Source organism: Homo sapiens, chromosome 4, assembly GCF_000001405.40.
Source record: "Homo sapiens chromosome 4, GRCh38.p14 Primary Assembly".
Lineage (NCBI taxonomy): Eukaryota > Metazoa > Chordata > Mammalia > Primates > Hominidae > Homo > Homo sapiens.
Genome location: NC_000004.12, coordinates 7478531 through 7501572, shown reverse-complemented (window position 1 = coordinate 7501572; position 23042 = coordinate 7478531). Strand labels below are relative to the sequence as shown.

Below are 23042 nucleotides of genomic sequence, written 5' to 3'. Positions count from 1 at the left end.
ATTTGGCATGAAGCAAAGTGCTAAGCCAGGAGGCTGAGGGAGGCCCATTCTGTTACCAGCGCCAGCCCTGGTGCCTTCGCCCTGGAACTGGATCATCAAAACACGTAAATCCTGCCCCCTGGGAGCTCATGGCACCGTGTCCTACAGTAAGGAGCCCTACTGACTTGAAAGGGGACTGGATCAGCACAAATGTCTGGTAACGTCATCACGGATGTGTGCTGCTTCTGTTTTTCACTCCAAGAAAGAACAATAAAAAGCTCAGGATTGATTGCAACCAAGGAACCAAGAACAGAGCAAGGTTCTTTGTAAAGAGCATTGGGCTTTACTGGCCCACGAGGGCGTGGGACCGAGCGGGTGACGGGAGCAGGGCTGTGGGGCGGACACTGCAGGGATGGGGACAGTGTCCAAACAGGGAGTGCTGAGGCAGTTGGTGGGGTAGGGCAAGATTCGTCTCACCCGCGCCTTCACAGGTCAGCACCCTGAGAAAAACATAGGTGCTTTTTCCAGGGCTCACGGTCCCAAGATGAAATCACCTGTGCGAGATGCTACAGCTGTAGCGGCTCAGAGGGCACGTGGGGTGGAGCTGGATCCACGCTGGCTTGAGCCGAGCTCCCTGGGAAGGCCAAACCTCCCGGCAGAATCACAGGAGTCGGGGCTGGTGGAGCCTGGGGCTCTGTCCTGGGTTTCATTCTGCGGGGGCTGCCCGCAGGCTGGCTCCCAGCATCGAGGTGAGAGGCAACTTGCAACCCTCAGGGGTACATGGAGGTCGCTGAGGCTCCCACTCGTTACCGCCCTCCAGCAGCCAGGGCCTCCCTGAGTTACAGCCTCAGCTCAGAGAGGTCCTCTTGGACGACGTGCGATGTAAAAGCCGGTTCCTCTCTATCACACCCACAGTCTCCAGCCGGCACACTGGTGCTCTCTGTGGTTATTTCTCCAGCCGGCACACTGGTGCTTTCTGTGGTTATTTCTCCAGCCGGCACACTGGTGCTTTCTGTGGTTATTTCTCCAGCCGGCACACTGACATCCTCTGTGGTTATTTCTTAACTTGAATACTGGCTATCTCCTCAGATCTGAGGCCCAGACCACCCAGAAGCAGATGAGGCCTTCAGTGTGGGTAGCACCCACAGAAAAGCAGGACATTAGGACAGAGGAGGGAAGCCCCCATTCCAGGGCCTGTTTGCAGGAGGTCCTCAATGCAGGCAGAGGGTTTGGCGCTGCCAGGGACCTCCAAGAGCCGGCACAGAGCATGCCTGGAGTAAGGAAGGCGAGTATTGATCCACCTTATCCTGCCCACCACTGCTCGGGGCTCCTCCAGGCGTGACCTCCCACACTCCCGGGGGCTCCACGGGCAGGCTGGGCAGCTCGTGCAGGGGACCGAGAGTGGAGGGAGCTGATAGGTGGGAGCTGGACGTACCACCGGGCAGGGGTGTGCTCCGGGTGATGGTGAGTGGGTTACAGGCAGGATGGGGGTGCCAGAAGCCGGAAAGAAAGCCCGTGAGGTCAGAGCTTGTGTCCATCTGGGGCCGCAGCTGGGTCCCCACGGTGCTGGGTGCACAGCAGACACACGAATGCCCAGTGAATGGACTGATGCGGCCTAGAAACCAGGATTCCAAGGAGGACAGCTGGCTCCCCAGCCGCCTGCCTCCCCTGGGACCTGACACACCCAGCACCCTCCTCCTCACGGCCCTTCTCCACTGCGCGCTGCCTGGGAGGGGGTCCACCCACCTGTGCCGGCTCGGTCCCCGATTGTTTGCTCTCAGCATCACCACAGCACGAACCTTGCCAAGCAGTGATTTAATGACTTGTGGGGTTTCTCTCCAGATGCCAGCGTTTGAGGAGCGAGGAAGGCAGACGAGAGGATCTTTCCAGGAAGGGTCTCCCGGGGCATGGCTCAGCTGGGGCAAAATGAGGGGGGATGGCCAGTGTCCCTGTGTGGTTCTCCATCTTGGAGAACAGAGCCCAGCCCCATGGCCTGTCTCCCATGCCGGCCCCCACCCGCCAGCCAGTGTCGAGTTCCAGGTACCACCTGCGATCCTCCTCTCAAAACTATCCTTTTCAGTCCGCCCCACGCCATCTCCCCTGACCAGGCCCCCACCTCTGGGCCCACTTCCTCACTGGTGCCCCTGCAGTGGCATCCCTGGAACCTCTCCTGCATGCAACTCCCACAGGGTCCTTGGGAAAGAACAAGTCTGTGCCCTTCCCTGCTCAAGCACCTTCCATAGCTCCCCATGGCCTCCAGCATCACACTCCCTCCTGAGTTAGGCTCCCATGTCCTCCAGAGTCCGGCTTCGTCTCACTGTCCCCCGACCTGCCCCATGTGGTGCACACCGCAGACATGCCACTCCTGGGGGTGACGTGCACACACTCAGACACATGTACACACACATGCATACACATACATGCACTCACATGCACATACTCGTGCTACATTTGCCCACTCATACACACTCAGACACAAATACACACACCCATCTCCACATGCACAGACACACACTCCCACATATGCACACGTGATTGTGCACACACATGCACCCTGTGCCGTGTCCCTCCCGTCTCCACGGTGCTGCCCCCTGCCCCCCTTTCCCCAGCCTCAGCCGGCTCCCTCTTGCAGCCTTCAAGATACTGGCCCCGGAGCTGCCCTCCAGGAAGCCACTCCACGCTCAGCTTGACATGTTCCCCTGCTGGGGGTGACAGGGCTCTGGGCTCCCTGGGCACTCGTCCCTCTCCTCTATGGCACTGCACTCCCATGGACACCCGCAGAGGGAGGGCCAGGGGTTGCTCATGCTGGCATTCCCAGCTCCCGGGCAGCCCTGACACCCAGTAGGCACTCTGTGGTGTAGACACCTCTGCTCCAGGCATCAGCCTTGGTCCACGTGGCTTCATTTCCTCCTCATATGATCTTGGGATCAGGGGCTTAGAGCAATGAGGCTGGCAGCTGTGCTGATCCCCTGCTGCCCAGGCCCTGCGTCCCTAGGAGGTGGGGCCTCACCCAGCTCTGCCTGGCCGCCTTGGCAGGGCGTGCTCTCTGCACCCTTTCCAGAGCTAGGGAGGGGTTGGGATTTTGGTACATGGGTCTCAATTTTGTGGCAGAGCAGCTCTGCACCACACTCAGAGGTGTTGTCGCCCAGCAGTGATTTGCTGCTGGCGTCTTGCCTGTACATTCTGGAAACTGTTCTCTATGTAATTTAAGTTACTTAAGGAACACAGCCTCTGGGCAGGTGCTCCCACTCTGGGCCTCCCCTTTACCCGTAGCAAAGGGTTGCGATCCCCACATCAGCCAAGGCAGGGGACTGGGTCACCCATGTCCACAGAACCTCTTGAGTCCTGGGCGTGAGAGGTTGGCCCACAGCCATCAGGGGTCCACATCTCACTGATGTCCTCAACCTCACTGGCTAAGGGAGGACTAGGAGGAACCCCAATCCTTCCCTTTCCAGGACTCCAGACTCATCCTGGCCCCCCAGTGGAAGGGCAGCCATTTGAAATGTGGGTGCGTGGATGTCATCCAGGAAGAGGGTCCCGAAACGGAGGCCTGGTCAAACTGGAGGAGATGAATCTCCAAGCCCAGGGAAACAGGCTGTGGGCACCAGCACCTTCCTTCTCCATCACCCGCTTCCAGTGAAATGCATTTCTTCACCCCCTTCAGTGAAACGCATTTCTTAAAAACGTTCCTTCCACTATGCACGTTATCTGGCCTTTTCCACAAAGCTCCTGCTGGTCCTCTGCCTTCGGCATTTTAGGCCATGGATTTTCTGGAAAGGGGACAGTATCTGGGTCCAGGCCTGGTTCTCCCACAAGGGAGTCACCTTGGGCAACTCACTCACCCTTGTGGATCCTCCGTTTCCCAACCTGTGCGGTGGGGACCATGACAGCACCTACCTCCCTGGGTCATGTGGAGATGAAGCGAGTGAAACGTGTGGTTCCTTGTGCAGGACCAGGCACAGAGCTGGTGCTCAACATACAGCAGGGACCAGAATTACAAACTCCTGGGGAAGTCCTAACTGTGGGCTCCTTTGGGAATGGCGGTGTGACTTGCCTGACCCCTGGTTGGGCCCCCACGGGGCAAGGAATCTCCACAGGTCCATCTCCTGCCAAGGAGCTGGGCTGCTCCTAGGAGGAGGGGGTAAGAGACAGCCTCACCCTTCACTGGGTGTGGGTTTGGGAGGGGACTTGGATTTAGAAGCTGCTCAGCCCTGGACAAGTCTCCCACATCCCATCCCAGAGCCCCAGTCCTCCTCTGGCAACAGCACCAACCCTGCCACGCTGTGCTGCGGGGAAGGCTGAATGAGGCCCTCCTCAGGGGAGGCCCAGACATGGTAAGAGGCACACAGTGGGTCTCCTGACACGTTCCTTTCTCTTTAGCCCTTAAATGCACCAACACCAGAGTGTGGCAGGGGCAGGGAAGAGAGCGCCATGCGGATCCTCAAGCCTGAGGCTTCGGCCACTGCCACCACCCACCTGACCCTGGCCATCTCTCTTTGCCACTCTGACCCTCAGTTTCCTCTTCTGCAGAATAGCCAACATCCATCCACAACACTATTGTTTGGAGTCAATTAGCTCACGTGTGTCAGCGCAAGAGCACCCACCCTAGCTTCATCCTGCCCTCCTACATGCCAGGCAATCACAGAAGGCTAAACCTCTGCACGGGCACTGGGTTGCTGACACAGGGCACCTGGCCTCGCCTGGAGAAGCAGCTCTGGCTTCTTTGATAAGCTGAGTTGTGCCCGGAGCCCTGTGCCTTCCCCAGCCGCTCACCACTTTCTTGGATGGGAAGGTCCTTTGTTTTGTCATCTCCCGCCTGGTGAAGGCGCCTTGGATTCCGCCGTGGACTTTCCCACCCACGCCTCGCTCCCTTCTGTAGCTTTGGCCTTTTCAGATGTGGCCCATGAATAATGAATCCCTGCTATAAATTTAGAAACTGTCCTTTCTCCCGGCCACTCTCCTTTCTCTTTATTTTTATCATGCTGGTTTGTAAGAAAACTAATCCCTTGAAAACACATTTTCCCCTCAACTGATTTCCTGACACCCAAAATTAAGTTGCTAATTTTACAGCCTCCGTGCAGAGCACCACAGGCTCACTGCCCTGAGATGGGGGATGGGGGACGGGGGACGGGGGACGGGGAACGGGTGGGGAGTGGGGGGGGGGGGCTCCAGTAGCTTTCCAGAAAGTTCTAATTCCTGGGGGCTGGGTGGTGTGGTAGGAAGCGCAAGGGCCTTGGAGTCAGACCCAGGCGCGAATCCTCATTCCTCTCCAGCTTGAGCAGCCGGACCTTGGATCTCACTTCTCCAGGCTTCTAGCTCCTTATCTACACAGCAGGGAGGACAGAAGTTCTTTGCAGGTTCCAGGAGGGTGTCGTGAGATGAGGGTGATAGACAGGGAGTCAGGTTGCTTTGGTCTCCTCCCTCCCTTCCCAAGACACACTTCACAAGGCATGAGAAGAACCTTCTGGAAGCAAGACAGGTTCACTCTCAAGAGAGCTCCAAATCCCCACCCCCGTCCATTCTCTTCTGCACCGCTTTGGAACTGACAGCTAGCCTGGCCTTCCAAGTCCTTCTGTGACCAGGCCTCCCCATCCTTCCACCCTCGGCCCACATTCTGTCCCTCGCCCAGGCAACATTCCCAACAGTCTTGCTAGGCCAGGCCGGCAGGTGCCTCCCTGTTTCTCTGGGTGGCCCAGGTAAAGCATGCAGGCACCCTGGGCCTCAGCTCCTCCCTGGGTGGGTGGGGGCTGCGGCCCCTGGTCTGGAGCTCCTCTGAGGGGTCACCACGCAGCTCAGACTCAATCAGGGGGCTGAGGGAGAAGTGCAGAGGGCCTGCATTGTTCAAGAGCCTAGGCCCAGGCATCAGGATCATGGAGACGAGAGGCCGCTCCCTTCTTCGTGACCTCAGTTTCCCCATCTGCACAATGAGGTGACTGACGTCCATGGCCCTCCCAGCTGTGAGATGACATGAGCCTGTGAGCTCTAGGACAACTGCTCATTTCCATGATGTACAAGGAGGCCCCGGGCTTGGGGCCTGACGAGGGTGCCAAGGAGAAAATCGCCACCAGTGTAGCCTGTGCTGACCTCACAACAATGCTCTGTGGAAGGAGCTCTGTTCTCACTGATGGATGGGGAAAGCAAGGCCCAGAGAACATAGAAGAGCTGCCGGAGGACACACAGCTGGTGGGGGAGGCAGAGATTTGCACCCAGTTCTTCCTTGGCACACATGGATTAAGCAGAACCTTCAAAAGGCAACGCTGGGCGCATTGAACCCAGCCTGGCCTCGCTTTCTGCCGTAGCCTCCTTTAGCCAGCGTGGGTCCCCAGGACAGGCTCTGGAGCCTGAGTTGATGCAGCTCCAAGGGGAGGCAGAGTTCTGGCAAATTCATCTCCCCCAGCATTTAGTCTGGGGCAAGCGAGGCTTTGACGCTGAGGCTGCAGTGATGGCCACACGGTTTCTAAGCTGACTGTAGTACCAGCACCGCTGACAGGCACCGTTGCTAGAGGAGAACAATCCATTTCGACGTCGCAGGGCCTTGCTCTGCCTCTCTGTTTCTTCAGCTGTTCCTTACCAAAGCCAGACTAGGCCAAGGACCCAGGAGAAATGGTGTGTTCACAAGCGCTCCACTCTGCCCCCAGCCGGGCAGCTCCAAGCCCAGGGAAACAGGCTGTGGGCACCAGCACCTTCCTGCTCCATCACCCACTTCCAGTTCAGAGCGGCAGAGACGAGCCGGAGCCCAAAGATCCAATCCCCTGCTCCTTGCTGCAGAAGTCAGGAGCTGTGGACCGGATGACACCCCTTACCGCCAACCACTGCATGTCTAAGGATGTGGTTTAAGGAAACAGCCCAGAAATCAGGCAGGGACTGATGTCCAAAGCTGTTCCCTGTTTCATGGACTGAATGTTTGTAGCCTCCCAGAATGCACATGCTGAGGCCCTAACCCCCAATTTAATGGTATTTGGAGATGGGGCCTTTGGGAGGTGATTAGGGTTGGATGAGGTCATGAGGGTAGGGCCCTGGTCCAAGGGGATCAGTGCCCTTATAAAAGGAGACACCAGAGAGCTTTCTCTCTCTCTCTACACCATGAGACGACACAGCGAGGAGGCAGACATCTGCAAGCCAGGAAGAGGCCCACACCAGAACCTGACCTTGATCTTGGACTTCCAGCCTCCAGAATTAAGAAACAAATGGCTGTTGTTTAAGCCTTGCAGTCTGCATATTTTGTTATAGCAGCTCACATGGACTAAGCCATTCGCCACAAGATTGCTTAAAGGACTAAAACATGGAAACCACACCGATATAAAACACCGGGAAACAGCTCGATCAGTCACTACAGGCTCATGGCGTGGACCACTCATGGGGAAGCTCATGCAAAGTCTGTCATCGTATGGGAAGTGACGCCAAGAAGAGCAGGTTACAAAACTATATTTGTACAAAAGATACGAACTATATTCGGAATAAGATCTCAGCTATAGAAATACACTCACGTGCATCCATGCATCTGTCCATATGTGAACGTATGAGTGTGTGTGTGAGCATGTGAGTGTATGTGTGTGTGTCTGTGTGTGTGTGTGAATGTGTGTGTGTGTTTGTGTGTATAGGTCTTGCTGTCTGTATGTTAAGTGGGCACTGAACATAATGCACCAGATGGAAACTAAAAGGCTTGTGTCCCAGTGTTAACACACTTTTACTTCCTGGTTTATTTCGAGGGTGTATCACGTCATTTAATATCCACACAATGCATGTGCATTACTATTAAAATCATAAAAAGGAATGTTTTTAAAAATGACATCTAGCTAGACCCATCCAGGCTGAGCAGCGGTGTCTTCCATATGGCATTGTGTCCACTTTCCTGACATGGCTCCGCGTGTTCTCTCTCTGACCAGCTGGAGCCCAGCCCTTCTGGGACACACACATGCACCCACAAGAGCTCAGGTCACCCTGGGCAGAGCTCAGCAAGGGTACAGCAGGGTAGCCAGCCGGTAATCGGAGGTTATCTGGTCCAAACACTTTATCCTCCAGCTGGGGAAACTGAAGCCCAAGGCAGTGGCTTAGAAAGTTGAACCACGACCACCAACAGATCCAACACTGCGACTCAGATGTACCCACAGAGATACCCACAGTCACAAGCAGCTGCTTAGACACCAAGGGTCAGGCAGATCCGGTAGGATCCAGGCCTCGGGAAGCTGCTGTGCCCCTCCACGAACCTCTTTCCTTTTCTGAAGAATCAGAGGGAAAATCTGGCAAGAGACCACATGGGATTCGCCAACCCATCTCCTCTCTTCTCTGGGCTGCCACAGCATTTTCTAAACTCCACTAAACTTAGGTCCTGAGACTGGGTTGGTCCCATCCAGGGTCACATGCACAGAAATGGTATGTGCTACTTCCAGGCTGGGTCCCAAACCCTCCCACCTGAGATTCTCATCCTCTTTCCCCTCTACCAATACAGATGGGCACTTTGAAACATCCATTTGTTTCTTAATTCTGGATGGGCATGGTGACCTCAGAAGGCAGGAGCATGGCCACACCCCAGATGGAAGGAGCCTGGGTCCCTGAGTCACTGCCTGGAGGACAGGCTGCTGCTGAGGAGCATCATTTAGACTTTATGGGGGTGAGAAATGAACTTCTGTTGCCTTTGAGCAATTATGTATTTGGGGGGCTCTTATGTTGCAGTGGTTAGCATTGCTTTCCTAAGGTAATATGGGAGATGAGGAGTCCGGGCCTGCCCTGGGGTCAGAGGCTCCGCAGGTGCACGGGAAATGGTACCTTCTTCCTCCCTGGTGCTGTTAACTCCTGGAAGCCTGGCTGTATTAAGAAGAAAGGATTTTGACTTCCTTATTAAATAAAACATTCATTTACATTTTTAAAACCATTTCCTTCAGGTATGCTTGTCAGCAGCCAGTCTCCAAGGGGCTGGGGAAGGACTCATTCATTAATTATTTACAGAACTACAGCCACTGTGGAAAATAGTACAGACGTTCCTCAAAATTAGAAATAGAACTATTATAAAATGCAGCAATCCCACTGCTGGGTACATAGCAAAAGGAAATAAAATCAGAATGTGGAAGAGGTCCCTGTACTCCTGCGTTCACCCGGAATCCTCCTGGGGATCACCAACAGATGATGCATGAAGAACCCTGGTGTATCCACACCGCGGAATCCTAGTCAGCCTTTACGAAGAAGGGACGACCCCTGTCATTCCCAGCAACATGGATGGGCCTGGTGGACATGGTGCTAAGTGAAACAAGCCAGGCACAGAAAGACAAATACCGCGCGACCTCATAGGTTCAACTTCTTAAAGAGCAGAATCCATAGAAGCAGAGAGTAGAATGGTAGTTACCGGGGGCTGGGCGAGGCAGGGAGGACTCGGGAGATGTCAAGAAAAATCATGTATTTACAGGTGGCGGGAGGTGGGCAGCCCTGCTCTGGAGAGAGGGCCAGGCTGTCGGGCCTGCTGGGAGCAGCAGCGTGCACCTGTCTCTTGAGAGGGACCTAATTCCTTGCCCATGGGGCTCAGCCTGGGGTGAAACTGGAGGCAGAAGATAGGCCAGAAAAGGAGGGAGGAGGAAGAGGCCCTGGATCTCTAGCCCCTGCCCTGCCCAGCCTCCAGGAGGCAAAGACTGGATGGAAAGGGTGGTGGCCAACATTCATGGTGCTCAGGCACTGCACTGGGCTTGCTCCAGGCAGCCCCTGCTGTCTGCCTTCCCACAGCTGGGAGCACAGCCCTGGACAGCCACTGTGGCATCTGGGCCAGTTCTACCCCTCCTGACCTGATGGGTGCCCTGAGCCAGCCCTCACCCTCCCACTTACCCAACAAATGGGGATCAAGCCACAGCTGCCTTAACGGGGGGTGGGTGGGCTGCTGTGCAGAGGGGCTCAGAGGAGCATGGGTCACGCAGACTTAATACAGGTTTCATAACCACAAGCCTTGTCCGCTATCATCTCCTGTTACAAATGAGATCACAGAAGCTCAGAGAGGTCAAGGGACCTGCTGGCCAGGTGGTCAAAGTGAAGAAGTCAATCCAGAGAGGTCCTAGCCAAGGTGTTCCCTCTGCATGGATTCAGTCAGCAGCGTGAAATGAGCAGCTGCTTACGCCATGCCGCGTGCTGGTGCCTGGGCATCTGGGGACACCAGCATGAAAAGTGCAGCCGCTGCACCTGCCTGCAGAGAGGGGCATGCTCATGCAGGGTCCTTGAGACCGGGACTCCATGACAGGGGCATAGAGCTGCTGCAGGAGTAGGGGTGGGGTGCCCCAGCCCAGTGCAGCCTCAGGGCCACCCAGCACCACAACTGGCTTCCTGGAGGATGGGTTAGCTACGAGTAACCCATGCTGGAGGCTGAGCATGGGTTACTCAGGTGAGAGGGCAAAGGGAACAGCATGTGCCAAGGCCTGGAAGGGAAAATCAGTGCCCTGTGTTCAGAGGACATCAGGAAGGCTCAGGGTACAGGGAACTTAGAACTGGAGGAGGGGAGAGGAGAGAGATGGCAGGAGAGCCGGGGAGTGGATATGGTTTATGTCCCAAGGGAAGGCAAAGGGAAAAGAGCAGAAGGTTTCAGGAAGCCACAGGAAGGGCGGCAGGGCAGGGACAGAGAGGAGGGGCGAGACCAGCCGCTGGGCAGCTGGTAAGAACAAAGACCAGCCTTTGTGGAGCCTTTGCCACGTGCCAGGTACGTCCCTAGGAGGAGACGGTGGTCTGGAGGCTAAGGCATGGGCAGAGGGCACAGAGGAAGCAGGGCAGTGCCCAGGGAGAAGCAGGCCTGGGAGGAGTGCAGCGGGGACACCCCGAGGGAGATGACCTGGGGCACGGAGATGCCAGCCAGCCGGAGAGAGGGCCTCACAGGCATAGCCATTACACACACTGGCCAGTGTTCACCTGCAAACAACCTGCCCCCATTTCACTGGATACCCCTGCTGGGGCCAGGACGGACGGTGCATGGAACTGGGAACTGAGCTATCTGAGGAGCCATCTGTCTGTCTGTTTTCTCTGCATGTCTGCCATCCTCACCCCTGCCGGTCCTCCCTCTCCCTCCTTCAAGGAAAGGTGGTCTCTAAGCTCCAAGGCAGCCCCACCTCCCTGGCAGTGGCAATTCTGGGGTGCTAGCATGGTCCCTAGGACAAAGGCTCTAAAAGACCAAATCCTCCTGGGGCAGAGACCTTTCTTATGGTTGAGCTCCGTGATCTAGGGTAGTCCTCAGCTCTGCCCTTCCCTCAAGGAAGGCTGCCCTTGACAGCCTCACCCCCTACACTGGACCAGGCCTGGCAGAGGGAGGCAGGCTGGGACCCCGCACTGTCCTGAGCTGTGTTGAGCTCCCCCCAGGCCGAGTCAGAAGGGAGATGGTCTTTTCCACAAGAGGAGGGTGAAGAAGGAGCTCCCAAAGCCACCTCAGAGGCAGGCGATGCTTAGAGCATCGAGAAGCCGGGAGAGGCCCCTGGGCCCTTCTGCAGAAGGCAACAAGGCCAGCACCCCTCCCCAGCCAGCCAGGCCCCTGGGGTGTCAGCCCAGGGCCCTCCCGCTGATCTCCAGGCCTGTGATCTTGTGCCCTTTTATCAGACTCCTCCTGTTGTCTGGAGATCTTTCTAGACCTGAAATACAACACCAGCCTCCTGTTCCAACCCTCCACCTATAGAAGGAGAACCCAGCCTGGCATTCACCATCCGCCTAGCCACAGGACACCCTTCTCTGCTGGAATGCCCCTCCTTGTGGCTCCAGAGCCCTGTCAGTGTCCTGGTCACCACTCACCCAGCCCCAGTCACACCAGAGAATAGGAACCACAACTCACAAGTATTTTCCTGATGAACAGGGCTTTTGACAGGGGTTTGTCAGGCATTTGTGTTTTCCAAAACACAGACTCCGTCTGTGAACATCAGAAATGCAGCATTTACTTAAATTATGTGCGATTATTTTGATTCACAAATTACATGCATTGATTTTCATGCACAGACAGGATTTTCAAACTCTAAATAACAGACTTGTCACCTTGTTTGCATTAGAACACTGTCTGGGACCATTTAAAATACAGATATCCAGATACCAGATAACATCTGCAGGGGCCAGGAGGGCCGGGGACAGTTTACATGGATTATTTACCACCGAGAGACATCTTGAGAAATTATTCACACCTTCAAGAGATCCTTTGAAATTGTAAATGCTTCCTAGACACCAGCAACGACTGAGAACTCAAGCAGCCAAGGAACTCGAAAAGCAACACAGGGAGCGGCAAATCAATTCAAGAAGGCACCAGCGACGACGCAGCCACAAATTAGGAAGTGGGTTTAGGGTGCTTGGAAATGGCAGCATCTGAAAGAGTGGAAGGAATTTAAGGAGTAAGAGCCCAGAGAACATGACTCTAGGCAACCAGTTCCAGCTTCCTGCCACCCAGCACCCAAAGACAGAAGGTCAAGGAACCAAATGAGAGGGTCCAGGGAACCAGCTTTTGGCTCCAGCGTTGCACGGATTTCAGCCTCCATCTTGCTGTCTGTGCAACCATTTGGTTAGCGACCATATCCCCAACTGAAATGTGGGTTCATGAAGGTATCCCCAGCCTTAGCATGCTGCTGACCATATAGGAGGTGCTCCTTAAATGATTAGTAAACGTTGAATGAATGAATGAAAAAGCACGAATACGTAAATGTAGCTAGTGACCATTTATGGTAGTCCAAGCAAGTGCGGACCTGTCAAATGGCACAGGGGGACTTAGCTGCCTCAGAAGTTTAAGCATGTAAACCAGGCTCATTTATGAAACAGCTTTATAAACGAATTTAAGATGCAAGGATCTCATCTCATCCAAGTGCTCAGAAGACAGGAGCAACAGGAAGCAGTCAGGATGTATTTGACTGCGGACAATAGGGCGGCCATGTCTGCCATGGCCAGTGACGGACACGTGCCCGTCTTGGCTGAGACACTCATGGGTCCCTCCACCTCATGGATCCCCCATTTCCACATCTGTCAATGAGATGGCCGTTCCTGTCCTGGTGAGTGGAAGGAGGTCCTGGGGACAGAGGCAGGGAAGGTCTGGGAAAGTCGCTGTGGAGGATGCTCTGGGAAATGTGGTAGAGGGTCTGCAGGAGGCAGGGTCTGCACCAGCAAGAGTGGGTGTGTCGAGCCCAGGTAGAGGGGGCACCTGCACCACATGCAGTAGCCAGGCGGCGCTCATGGGGACAAGTGCTCCTTCTCTGACCTCATCCCTCAGCCTGAGACTGAGGCTGATCCCCAGGATCTCAGCCCTTGACCCAGCTCAGAGTCCTCTGTTTGTCAGGAGCAGGACTCTCTCCACAGACTGCACAACTGCGGCCGCTTTCTGAACCTCATTGAGCTTTTCTGGGCTGGAAACAATGCCTTGGCAACTGCAAAACAGGACAGCAGAACTGAAGGACTTGACAGGGGAGAGCAGACAGCCGGCCCACGGGAGCCTGGCCCTTGCCTGAGACCATGGCAGACTGGTCACTAGTTGATGACCACACTCCTGGCTGCCAAGATTGCCTTAATTTCCGAACCTCTCCTAGCACAGGGCTCAGGTACCGGGAGATGCGCATTACCTTAAATGCTGAAACCTACTGGCCATCGCAGGGCTACGCTCCTGGAGGCGGTGACAGGGAAGAAAGCCCAGCACTTGCTGATGAGCGAGCGGCTCTGCCCCGGATTCCTGCTTCCTTCGTTCCTTTGTAGACATCAGGCTATGCCTGATGTCTACAAAAGAAAATTTTAATAGAATCATGGCAAGCCTGGGAAATAATACTGTTCACAGTGACCCCTAATTAAAGCGCAGAGAGCACACAGCCAGAGCCCTCGGTACCGTAGCTGCTGGGGATTAATTGAGAGAAAGAGATGCAGAGAAGAGGATGGCCAGGCAGCATGGGGCTGGAGGCGGGGGAGCCAAGTCCCACCAAGGCGGCTCTGAGGTCCTCAGAAGAGGCCCCGTCTATCACCGCTACGTGAGTCTAGGGGAAGCTGAGATTAGCATGCAGCTGCCCTGCAGGCTGGTGATCCCCAGATGGTAGAAGTGCAGAGGCCAGGTGCATGCAGCGCGCTCTCTCTAGTGCAGGCAAAGGAGAGAGAATTTAAAGAGCTCCATGTCATATTTTTCCTTACAATTTACATTGCATTCAACAAGCCACCACCCTGGTGTCCATGCTAGAGACAATTCTGAGGGCAGCCCAGACAAGGGGAGGGGGAAGTGGAGGTCTGGGCCCCACTCCCCAACAGGGAGTCACAGCCTTATCCAGGAGCCACCCCTTCTGCTGTAGGATGGGGATAACACAGCCCACTTCAGGATCCTCTGGTGACTGTGGGCCAAGGGAATGTAACAGACAGCTTGTGAAAACAGAACTTCGATTTATTACCCAGAGAAGGCTTCCATAGCTGATCAATGCCAGTGGCTTTGCAGATCTCCTTAGGGTGGGCTTCTTGGTGCAGGGAGGGGTCCTGCAGGGGTCCCCTGAGCACGCACATGGAGGGTGAGTCACATCGTTACCACCCGGGAGGGTGGGCTTTGTGCTCTGCAGGGCTGGCCCTCGGAGAGGTAGGAGACAGGGCTGCACTGGGGCTGGGAACACCCCGTAGACAGGCAGCCTGCAAATGCAGCCGCTTCCCGCTGAGGTCGGTAGAGGGTTGAATAGTGACCCACCCAAAAGACCTGTCCACATCCCAATCAGAGTTTCTGAATGTGACCTTATTTGGAGAAAGGATCTTAGCAGATGTAATTAAGTTAAAGATCTTAATGATGAGATTATATCATGGACTATCCAAGTGGGCTCTAAATCCAAGCACATGTGTCCTCACGAGAGACAGACGAGATGATCCAGGAAGAAAACACCATGGGAGGGCAGCTGTAGAGGCTGGGGGCACGCACACCTGGAGCCACTAGAAGCCGGAAGAGCCAGGAGGGATCCTCCTTTGGAGGCTCCAGGGGGAGCATGCCTTGCAGACACCGTGATTTCCGACTTCCAGGCTTCTGGGAGAGAATAATTCTCTACTGTTTGAAGCAGTCAGGTCTGGGGTCATCTGTTCTGGCAGCCCCGGGAAGCTACCGCAGGCTCCACATTATCAGCGCTCTCAGCTGGGGTACAAGGAGATAGCTCAGCCTCGGGTCCCGCAGGAACAGGCATCAGGGTCCCTGAATGGGACCTTCTTGCAAGACACGGGACTCAGGCCCAGTGACCCTGTCCAGGGCCAGGGGGTCGTGGAGGCCGCATCCTGCCCCGTGTGTGGTGGAGGCTGGAAGACCCCTCCATCTGTCCACCTGGTTCTGCAAATAGTGGCCCAGCCGGCCTGCGGGCGCTCCAACAGCAGCAGTGAGGACCCAGCTGACTGTGGGCCAGCCCTCAGGTTGGGCTGTGACCTGGGACAGGAGGGCAGGGCCACTGGAGGGCCCCCCTCCACTGGACGGGGCTTGTTCCCAACAGCAGAAGAACCTATGGGAGAGGCCTCAGGAGGCAGGTGCTGCAGGTCCCTGTCACGCGCACGAGGGGCTCCAGCAACCAACAGAGACAAAGGGACGCTTCAGTCTGGAGTTGCCATCCCCAGGCTGTGCTGTGGGTGACATCCGTGGGCTTCGGTATGCAGGGCCTGATGTCAGGCTCAAGCTAACAGGCCACCACAGTGAGGGTGCCAGGATGCAGGCATGGGGTGCCCCCAGCCCGCTGGGTTTAGGGCATTTCCCTGTGGCCAGCACAGAGGAAGCCCCATGGTGCCACATCCCAGAGCCTGTCTACCCGCCCTGAGCCTCCCTACTCAGTCCTTTCTCTCCCAGGTTCCTTTCACCCTGGCATCCTCCCTCCACACGTCTCTCCCTCCTGCCACTGGGAGCCTCATCGGGCTCCCCTGGGCCCACAGTGGGCACCTGCTAGCTGCATCTAGCCACCCCCAGGGAAGCTGCCCTTCTAGGGGTGCCAGGCCTGAGCCTCAGCTCCCACCCTCTGCTGGGTCCACACGGCCTGGCCGGTACAACCTGAAGCCACCCGACCCCACAACCTCCGTTTCCTTCCCGTGTTTTCCATTGTTAGGAAAAATAACAAGAGTGTGTTGTTGATATCAAATAACAAGAGCCGCCAGGGAGAAGCTAGAGGAGATGGCTTCCCATGGGGCCCCAAAGGCAGACATGAGGCCCGGCAGGGGGCCCTGGGGCTCCAGGTGAGGGGTGGGGCCCACAGAGCCAACCTGGTGTGGGTGGAGTAGCCTCAGCAGAGCCTGAGCCAGCCCTGGTGTGACGGGATAGTTGTGGAGGCAACTCCGGGGCCTTGGCTGGGATGGCCCAGGGGCTCTGCCTGGGAACTATCCACCCTAAGCAGCATGCTCCTGGTAATGTGGAGTCTGAGTGACTGAGACACAGCTGCCCAGGGCGATGGGAGGGGCATGCTGGCTTAGACCAGACCTGGATCTCATCTGGGGACCGAAGGCTGCAGGAGCCCCAGGAGGGCTGTGATGTCCTGGAAGGTGAGCAAACGAAAGTGGGAGTGTGTGCCGTGTGGAGTGAGACCCTCAGGAGGGTGTGTGGGCACAGGACAGGTGACCAGACTCCTACATCTCTTGTTCATTCACTCAACAAACGCCCCCTGAGGATGAACAGACAGTCTGCCCTGCAGGAATCAGCCAGAAGTCCTGACATGTTGGGGAGGGCCGGGACAGCAGGCAACGCACAGGGGTGCAAATAAATGAAAAAGAAGGAAAGCCAGGAGGCCTTAAGGAGGCAGGCTGTGTGGAGGAGGTGGGCTGGATGCAGGAGACAGGCCGCATGGAGGAGGTGGGCTGCGTGGAGGAGGCAGGCTGGGTACAGGAGCGGGGCTGGGTGCAGGAGGGAGGCTGGGTGCAGGAGGGCTGGGTGCAGGAGGTGGTGTGTGTTGTGAAGATGGCCTCAGGCTGTCGTTTAACTTGTAAATGCCCGCCCAGCTCAGAGTTCTCTAAAGAGAGGATCATTTTGTTTTTTAGCTTTTAAACTGGGATCAGAACGGAGGAGGTTAGAAAGGAGAGGAATTGCTTGCAGAGCTCCCCAGGTGCAGAGGCCTTCCTGTTCCTGGTATTTCCACACTGGAGTCAGCACCTTCTGCCCAAAGCCCTTTCTATCCTTATAAGCCCGGCCTCCTCTCTGTTCCACAAATCTTGCTAGAGACTGGCTTCCCTGGACAGCGTTCCTTCCCACGGCAACACCACCTTGATCCCCAGCAGGCCGCTCCGGCTGGGCCCTGTGACAAAGGAATTCATAAAATAGGAGGAAGATAAACTTGATACCACGCAGGTTACTTTGGTTCTCCAAATGAAGAAATGTGAAAATGTAAAAGTCGGGTGACAGATACAGTGGCCTTTTGTGGGAAGACAGAGATGTAATTCTCAGCACACCTAAATCGATCACCTCGGAAAATACGTTCAGACTCAGCGGCGATCTGCCGGCGCAGGGACGCGAGCTGTGGGAAGGTTTTTGAGAGTAGATTACCGGGACCGCTGGGATGGATAACTTTAAGCTGCCTCCCATCATATGTTGATACTTATTGCACTGTGTTTTCTAGGAAACACCAGGCAAGCAAAGAGAGGTAAAAACACTTAAATGCTCGAAGAAAGTAAGTCAGAAAATAACATCTGTAGATACAGGAGAGCCTGGGCTTTGAAGACGTGCATTTGAATTTTGAATCGGCTACTTTCTGAAAGACTCGTTTTTGTTTTTGTTTGGTTTTTTGTTTGTTTGTTTTTTCACTTTAAGTTCTGGGATACATGTGCAGAACGTGCAGGTTTGTTACATAGGTATACATGTGCCATGGTGGTTTGCTGCACCCATCAACCCGTCATCTAGGATTTAAGCCCTGCATTCATTAGGTATTTGTCGTAATGCTCTCCCTCCCCTGGCCCCCCACCCCCTGGAGACTCTAATTCTTTTGGCCTCAGTTTCCCAAGAGGGTACGGAAACACAGGAATACTCCCTCCCAGGACGTTGTAAGCCCCTTGGAAGACACGTGGGCATTGCTGGCCTGGGACCCCATGTACAGTAGGTGCTTTTTTCCGTCCCTCAGGCTGCCATAACAAAGCACCCCGCACAGTGTGGCTTATAAACAGTAGGCATTTATTCTCTCAGTTCAGGAGATGGAAGTCCCAAATCGAGGCGTCAACAGTACCACGTGCCTCCCAAAGGCTCCAGGACAGAGTCTGTTCATGCTTTTCTTTTAGCATCTGGCATGGTGGGCAAACTCCTGCGTTCTTTGGCTGGCAGCTGCCTCACGCTACTCTCTGCCCACTTCATCCGTCACGTGGCTTTCTCCTCACTGTCTTTTTTTTTTTTTTTTTTGAGATGGAGTCTCGCTCTGTCACCCAGGCTGGAATGCAGTGGCCCAATCTCGGTTCACTTCAACCTCCGTCTCCCGGGTTCACGCCATCCTCCTGCCTCAGCCTCCCGAGTAGCTGGGACTACAGGTGCCCGCCACCAAGCCTGGCTAATTTTTTGTATTTTGTTTAGTAGAGACGGGGTTTCACCGTGTTAGCCAGGATGGTCTCGATCTCCTGACCTCATGATCCCCCCGTCTCAGCCTCCCAAAGTGCTGGGATTACAGGCACGAGCCACCGCGCCCGGCCTCTCCTTTTTTTCATAAGGACATCAGTCATAGGATTTAGGGCCCACCCTGCTCCAGTAGGACCTGCCCTTAATTCCATCCACAAAGACCCTACTTCCAAAGAAGGTCCCTTTCTGAGGTTCTGAGTGGTGTGAATTTCAGAGGGAGCCTCTCCAGCCCACCACAGCAGCCAGGGGTGTCCGCGGCGGGGATACAGGTCTGAACAGCAGCCAGGGGTGTCCGCAGTGGGGATACAGGTCTGAACAGCAGCCAGGGGTGTCCGCAGCGGGGATACAGGTCTGAACAGCGTCAGGGGTGTCCGCAGCGGGGATACAGGTCTGAACAGCGTCAGGGGTGTCCGCAGTGGGGATACAGGTCTGAACTGCAGCCAGGGGTGTCCGCAGCGGGGATACAGGTCTAAACAGCGTCAGGGGTGTCCGCAGTGGGGATACAGGTCTGAACAGCAGCCAGGGGTGTCCGCAGTGGGGATACAGGTCTGAACAGCGTCAGGGGTGTCCGCAGTGGGGATACAGGTCTGAACAGCGTCAGGGGTGTCCGCGGTGGGGATACAGGTCTGAACAGCGTCAGGGGTGTCCGCAGCGGGGATACAGGTCTGAACAGCGTCAGGGGTGTCCGCAGTGGGGATACAGGTCTGAACAGTAGCCAGGGGTGTCCGCGGTGGGGATACAGGTCTGAACGGCGTCAGGGGTGTCCGCAGTGGGGATACAGGTCTGAACAGCAGCCAGGGGTGTCCGCAGTGGGGATACAGGTCTGAACGGCGTCAGGGGTGTCCGCAGCGGGGATACAGGTCTGAACAGCGTCAGGGGTGTCCGCAGCGGGGATACAGGTCTGAACAGCGTCAGGGGTGTCCGCAGTGGGGATACAGGTCTGAACAGCGTCAGGGGTGTCCGCAGCGGGGATACAGGTCTGAACAGCGTCAGGGGTGTCCGCAGTGGGGATACAGGTCTGAACAGTAGCCAGGGGTGTCCACGGTGGGGATACAGGTCTGAACGGCGTCAGGGGTGTCCGCAGTGGGGATACAGGTCTGAACAGCAGCCAGGGGTGTCCGCAGTGGGGATACAGGTCTGAACAGCGTCAGGGGTGTCCGCAGTGGGGATACAGGTCTGAACAACGTCAGGGGTGTCCGCAGTGGGGATACAGGTCTGAACGGCGTCAGGTGGATGAGCGGGGAGAGGCAGAACCATCCAGCGTGACAAAGGTCGCCGTTGCCAGCGTTCTCTCTCGTTGCTGGGCACACCCTCCTCTGTTCTGGCAGCATCCAGCATTTCCCTGGGTTCTCTCCAGGACACCCAGCTCTGTGTTCCCACAAGGATGTCAGTTTCTCAGTAGTGCCCTCCCCACCACCGAGGCTCAGGAGACCCTTCCCTACGGCTCCAGGGAAGCCCCTGAGTGCTGGCCCAAAGTTAAACTTTCAAATATGGACAGGCAGAGCCTCAGCAGACTCCTCTCTGGCTCACCAATGGTCAACGTTACATTCAGGACCATCCCTCTCGGCTCCCCCGACCTCTCCAAACTCTCCAGAGCCCTTGATCCCTGCCGGATGCCGACTCCACATGTCCAGATCTCCCCAGATGCCACCCAGGTTTCCTGGGCCTCCCGGCCGACCTCCGCCTAGAGGCCACCGTTCTCCAGGCAGAATCCCACCACCCAGCTCTTTCCTTCCCTGCTGACCGAGCCCAGCCCTGCCTGGCAGCATTCTTGTGCCCTAGCTCCCTCCCGGGGCTGTGCCATCCCTGTGCAGCGAAGACCCCTGTGTGGTGAGCACAATGAGTGGACTATTCATTCTGTAAGAGGAGCGCACGCTCCTGTTCTCAGGGTCGCAGACGCTGTGTCCTTGCCACACCTGCCACTCAGGAAAGTCTGTGGCTCCCACTCAGGTGCATGCTGGGTAAAGAGGATGCCATGTGTGGCCAAGGCTTGGCTCACAGGGCCCTCCAGGCAGGGCCACTAGAATGCCTCTTAGGGCTACTTAGCAGGAGTCAGATGGGCTCTCTTGATTTCAAAGAAAAGGGAGGACAGTCGGTCTAGGAGGAGAAGCCCCTCAGGATTTCGCCACCTCTCCTGTCACCTCACAGGCCTATCTTTTCTGTTTTTCTTCCTAAAAACCCCACATATCACCTGTTTCTCCAGAAAAGGGAACACTCATTTCGTCAATGAAATATCAAGACTGTGAACCCACCCAGGGAGGCCACGCTGTGGGGTACACCTGCTCTCCACTCCTGTCCCAGCCAAGCCTCCAAGGCACCGGCCTGCGGCCCTGGCGAGCTGGGGAGCCTGGGGCGGGTGGAGGGGATGCGTCTGCACGGTCAGCGCCCTCCCCACAACTCCAGGTGGACTCACAACCACCGCAATATCACACATGGTTCTGGCCGCGGCTCTGGGCTACCCGGGGCACCTGCCATCCCAGTTTCACTGTGGCAGGTGGAACTGTTTCCTCACTCTGTTGAGGCCAACAGCAGCCTGAGGGTGGAGCGAGGGCTGGGTCCCCTCCAGTCGCCCCCTTGGCGGGTGCCTGTTCTGAACACAGCCTGCACTCCCAGCACGCTGCCCAGCTTCAGAGCATGGTCTCCCACCTGCAGTGGGTCAGGTTCCTCCAACCCCCCGGGCTGTATTTTTGTGAATTGCTGTGCTGGCTCTGTGGGTACCAGAGGGGAAGGAGTGGCTGGAAGAGTTTGGGAATGTCACTTCTCCATGTCCATCTCTAGTCTAAATAATGCAGCCACAGGCCTCTCTCAAGCACCAGCATCCATCCTCTCTGCACACAGTCCCAGACGCTGCAGTCACTCCAAAGCCCACGTGCCATCAGAGACTCTCGGGCTCAACACCTGGTCACAGACATGTCCCTGCTTCAGGGCAAAGCCCAGAATACCACCACACTTCAGACCCCTGTGAGCCACAGCCGCTCCACTCCAGGCCCACCCTGACCCATCTGCAGCACGCAGAAGGGGGCTTCCTGCCCAAAGGAGGAGTTCAGCTCATAGGTCAGACTCAGCTCAGGCTCAGCCACATGGCGAGGCTGGCAGGTGCCTAAGCAGACCCTGAGCTTCTCCCAGCAGCATTCACTACCAGGTGTCACGGAATAAATGGCGCCCAGGGCTGGACACTGAGCCCGGAGGACAGGGCTGCCTCTTTCTTGTGCATCGCAGCATCCCCAGTCCTAACAGAGCACACGTGGGTACCAAATAATTGCTCATTAAAATGGGGAGTCAGAGAGTGAGAGGCTGACTCTGCTCACTGCACCCACCACTGGACATTCACATTCACATTCATTTGCAGAGCATCTGTATCCTAGAACCATGCAGAGTTGGGGCTCAGCGTCCTGGGGCCTGTCCCAAGACCTCATGGAGAGGAGGAGAAGAGGGACACGGCCCCCCGATGCAAACATTGCCAGGCCCTGAACAAGGAACGAGGGGAGCCCAGCAGAGGCCCAAGCCCTGCCAAGCCAAGCATGCACAGCAGGGGTAGGGGGCTCCAGCGCAGAGCCCTCTCCCTGGCAGCGGTGTGCAGAAGGGGCTAATGCCTCAGGGCTGGGTTGTCCAAACTCTGCACATTGCAAAGAAAGGTTTGGCCCTTGATTGTCTTCTGGGAGATGACCTCTAAGCCTTAGGATGTCCTGTCTAATTGGAGCAGGTTTGTTTATCTGGGGGCTTTAGGGCACGTGGTCTCAGCTTGGCCTCTGGAGGGAGGGCTGGAGGCTCAGGGCGGCACGTGGAGAGTGAGCCACACTGATGTGGCTCAGCCCAGGGAAAGGCCCAGACATTGAGGCTCAGCTGAGCTTCCCTGGTTAGCAACATGTCCTGTGTCCTGTGTGCGGTCACATACCCTCGCCCAGAGAAGGAAACGGCACCCACAGAAGTCCACCGAGAGAGAGGGCAGCTGGCTGCTGGCGTTTGGCTCCTCCCGACTCTGCCCTGTGTGCCTTTCTCCCTTTACTGATCCTAACCTGTAACCTTTCCTGGTAATGAGCCATTGCCATGAGGAACACAGCTTATCAGACTTCTGTGAATCCTTCTAGAGAAGCTTTGACCCTGGAGGCTCGTGGGGAACCCTCGGAAGTCATTTTTATTAGGTGACACAAAGCTATCAGGAGAGCCCGTCAGGAGAGGAGAAACCAGGCCACGGAGGCTTTGAGTGACTTGGCCGAGGCCCCCTGCCAACACAGAGCCGAAGGGTCCCCGACCCAGGCCTCGGTGCCCAGCTGTGTGAGAGGTCTCCCCTGTCATGGGCCGAGTGCCTATGCCATGTGCCCACTCTGTCCCCTTCCCAGTGATCACAGAAAGCAGGAACCCCCACACCACTGTCTCCATGTTATAGACACTCTCATTCATTGGTCAAATATTGATCGGGCACCCACACTCAGGAAGCCGTGTGCAAAGTTCAGGGGATACAGTGGTGACCAGGTCAGAGCAGGGGGAGGTCCACATGGCTCAATCATTGGGGAAAAGGCAGTGGGGGCTGCCAGGCGCCAGGCTCTGTCCTAGCTCTGGAGACTCAGCGGAGAACATGACA

General features: G+C 56.2%; 1 protein-coding gene across 8 annotated transcripts in view, besides 3 other annotated features; it reads right to left on the bottom strand.

Annotated features, from left to right (window-relative positions):
• SORCS2 (sortilin related VPS10 domain containing receptor 2) overlaps positions 1–23042 on the bottom strand; it is a 550290-nt gene that overhangs the window by 241255 nt on the left and 285993 nt on the right. The window lies entirely within an intron of this gene.
• Positions 193–791: an enhancer, noted in NCBI's record as "H3K4me1 hESC enhancer chr4:7502509-7503107 (GRCh37/hg19 assembly coordinates)". NCBI's record gives its function as "activates a minimal SCP1, AML or CMV promoter by ChIP-STARR-seq in naive H9 embryonic stem cells {active_cell/tissue: H9 hESC(naive)}" and the evidence as "EXISTENCE:reporter gene assay evidence [ECO:0000049][PMID:30033119]".
• Positions 3792–3959: a silencer, noted in NCBI's record as "fragment chr4:7499341-7499508 (GRCh37/hg19 assembly coordinates)". NCBI's record gives its function as "represses an EF-1alpha promoter that drives an FKBP-Casp9 reporter gene in an ReSE screen in phorbol 12-myristate 13-acetate-treated (for megakaryocytic differentiation) K562 erythroleukemia cells {active_cell/tissue: K562(+PMA)}" and the evidence as "EXISTENCE:reporter gene assay evidence [ECO:0000049][PMID:32094911]".
• Positions 14581–15451: an enhancer, noted in NCBI's record as "H3K4me1 hESC enhancer chr4:7487849-7488719 (GRCh37/hg19 assembly coordinates)". NCBI's record gives its function as "activates a minimal SCP1, AML or CMV promoter by ChIP-STARR-seq in primed H9 embryonic stem cells {active_cell/tissue: H9 hESC(primed)}" and the evidence as "EXISTENCE:reporter gene assay evidence [ECO:0000049][PMID:30033119]".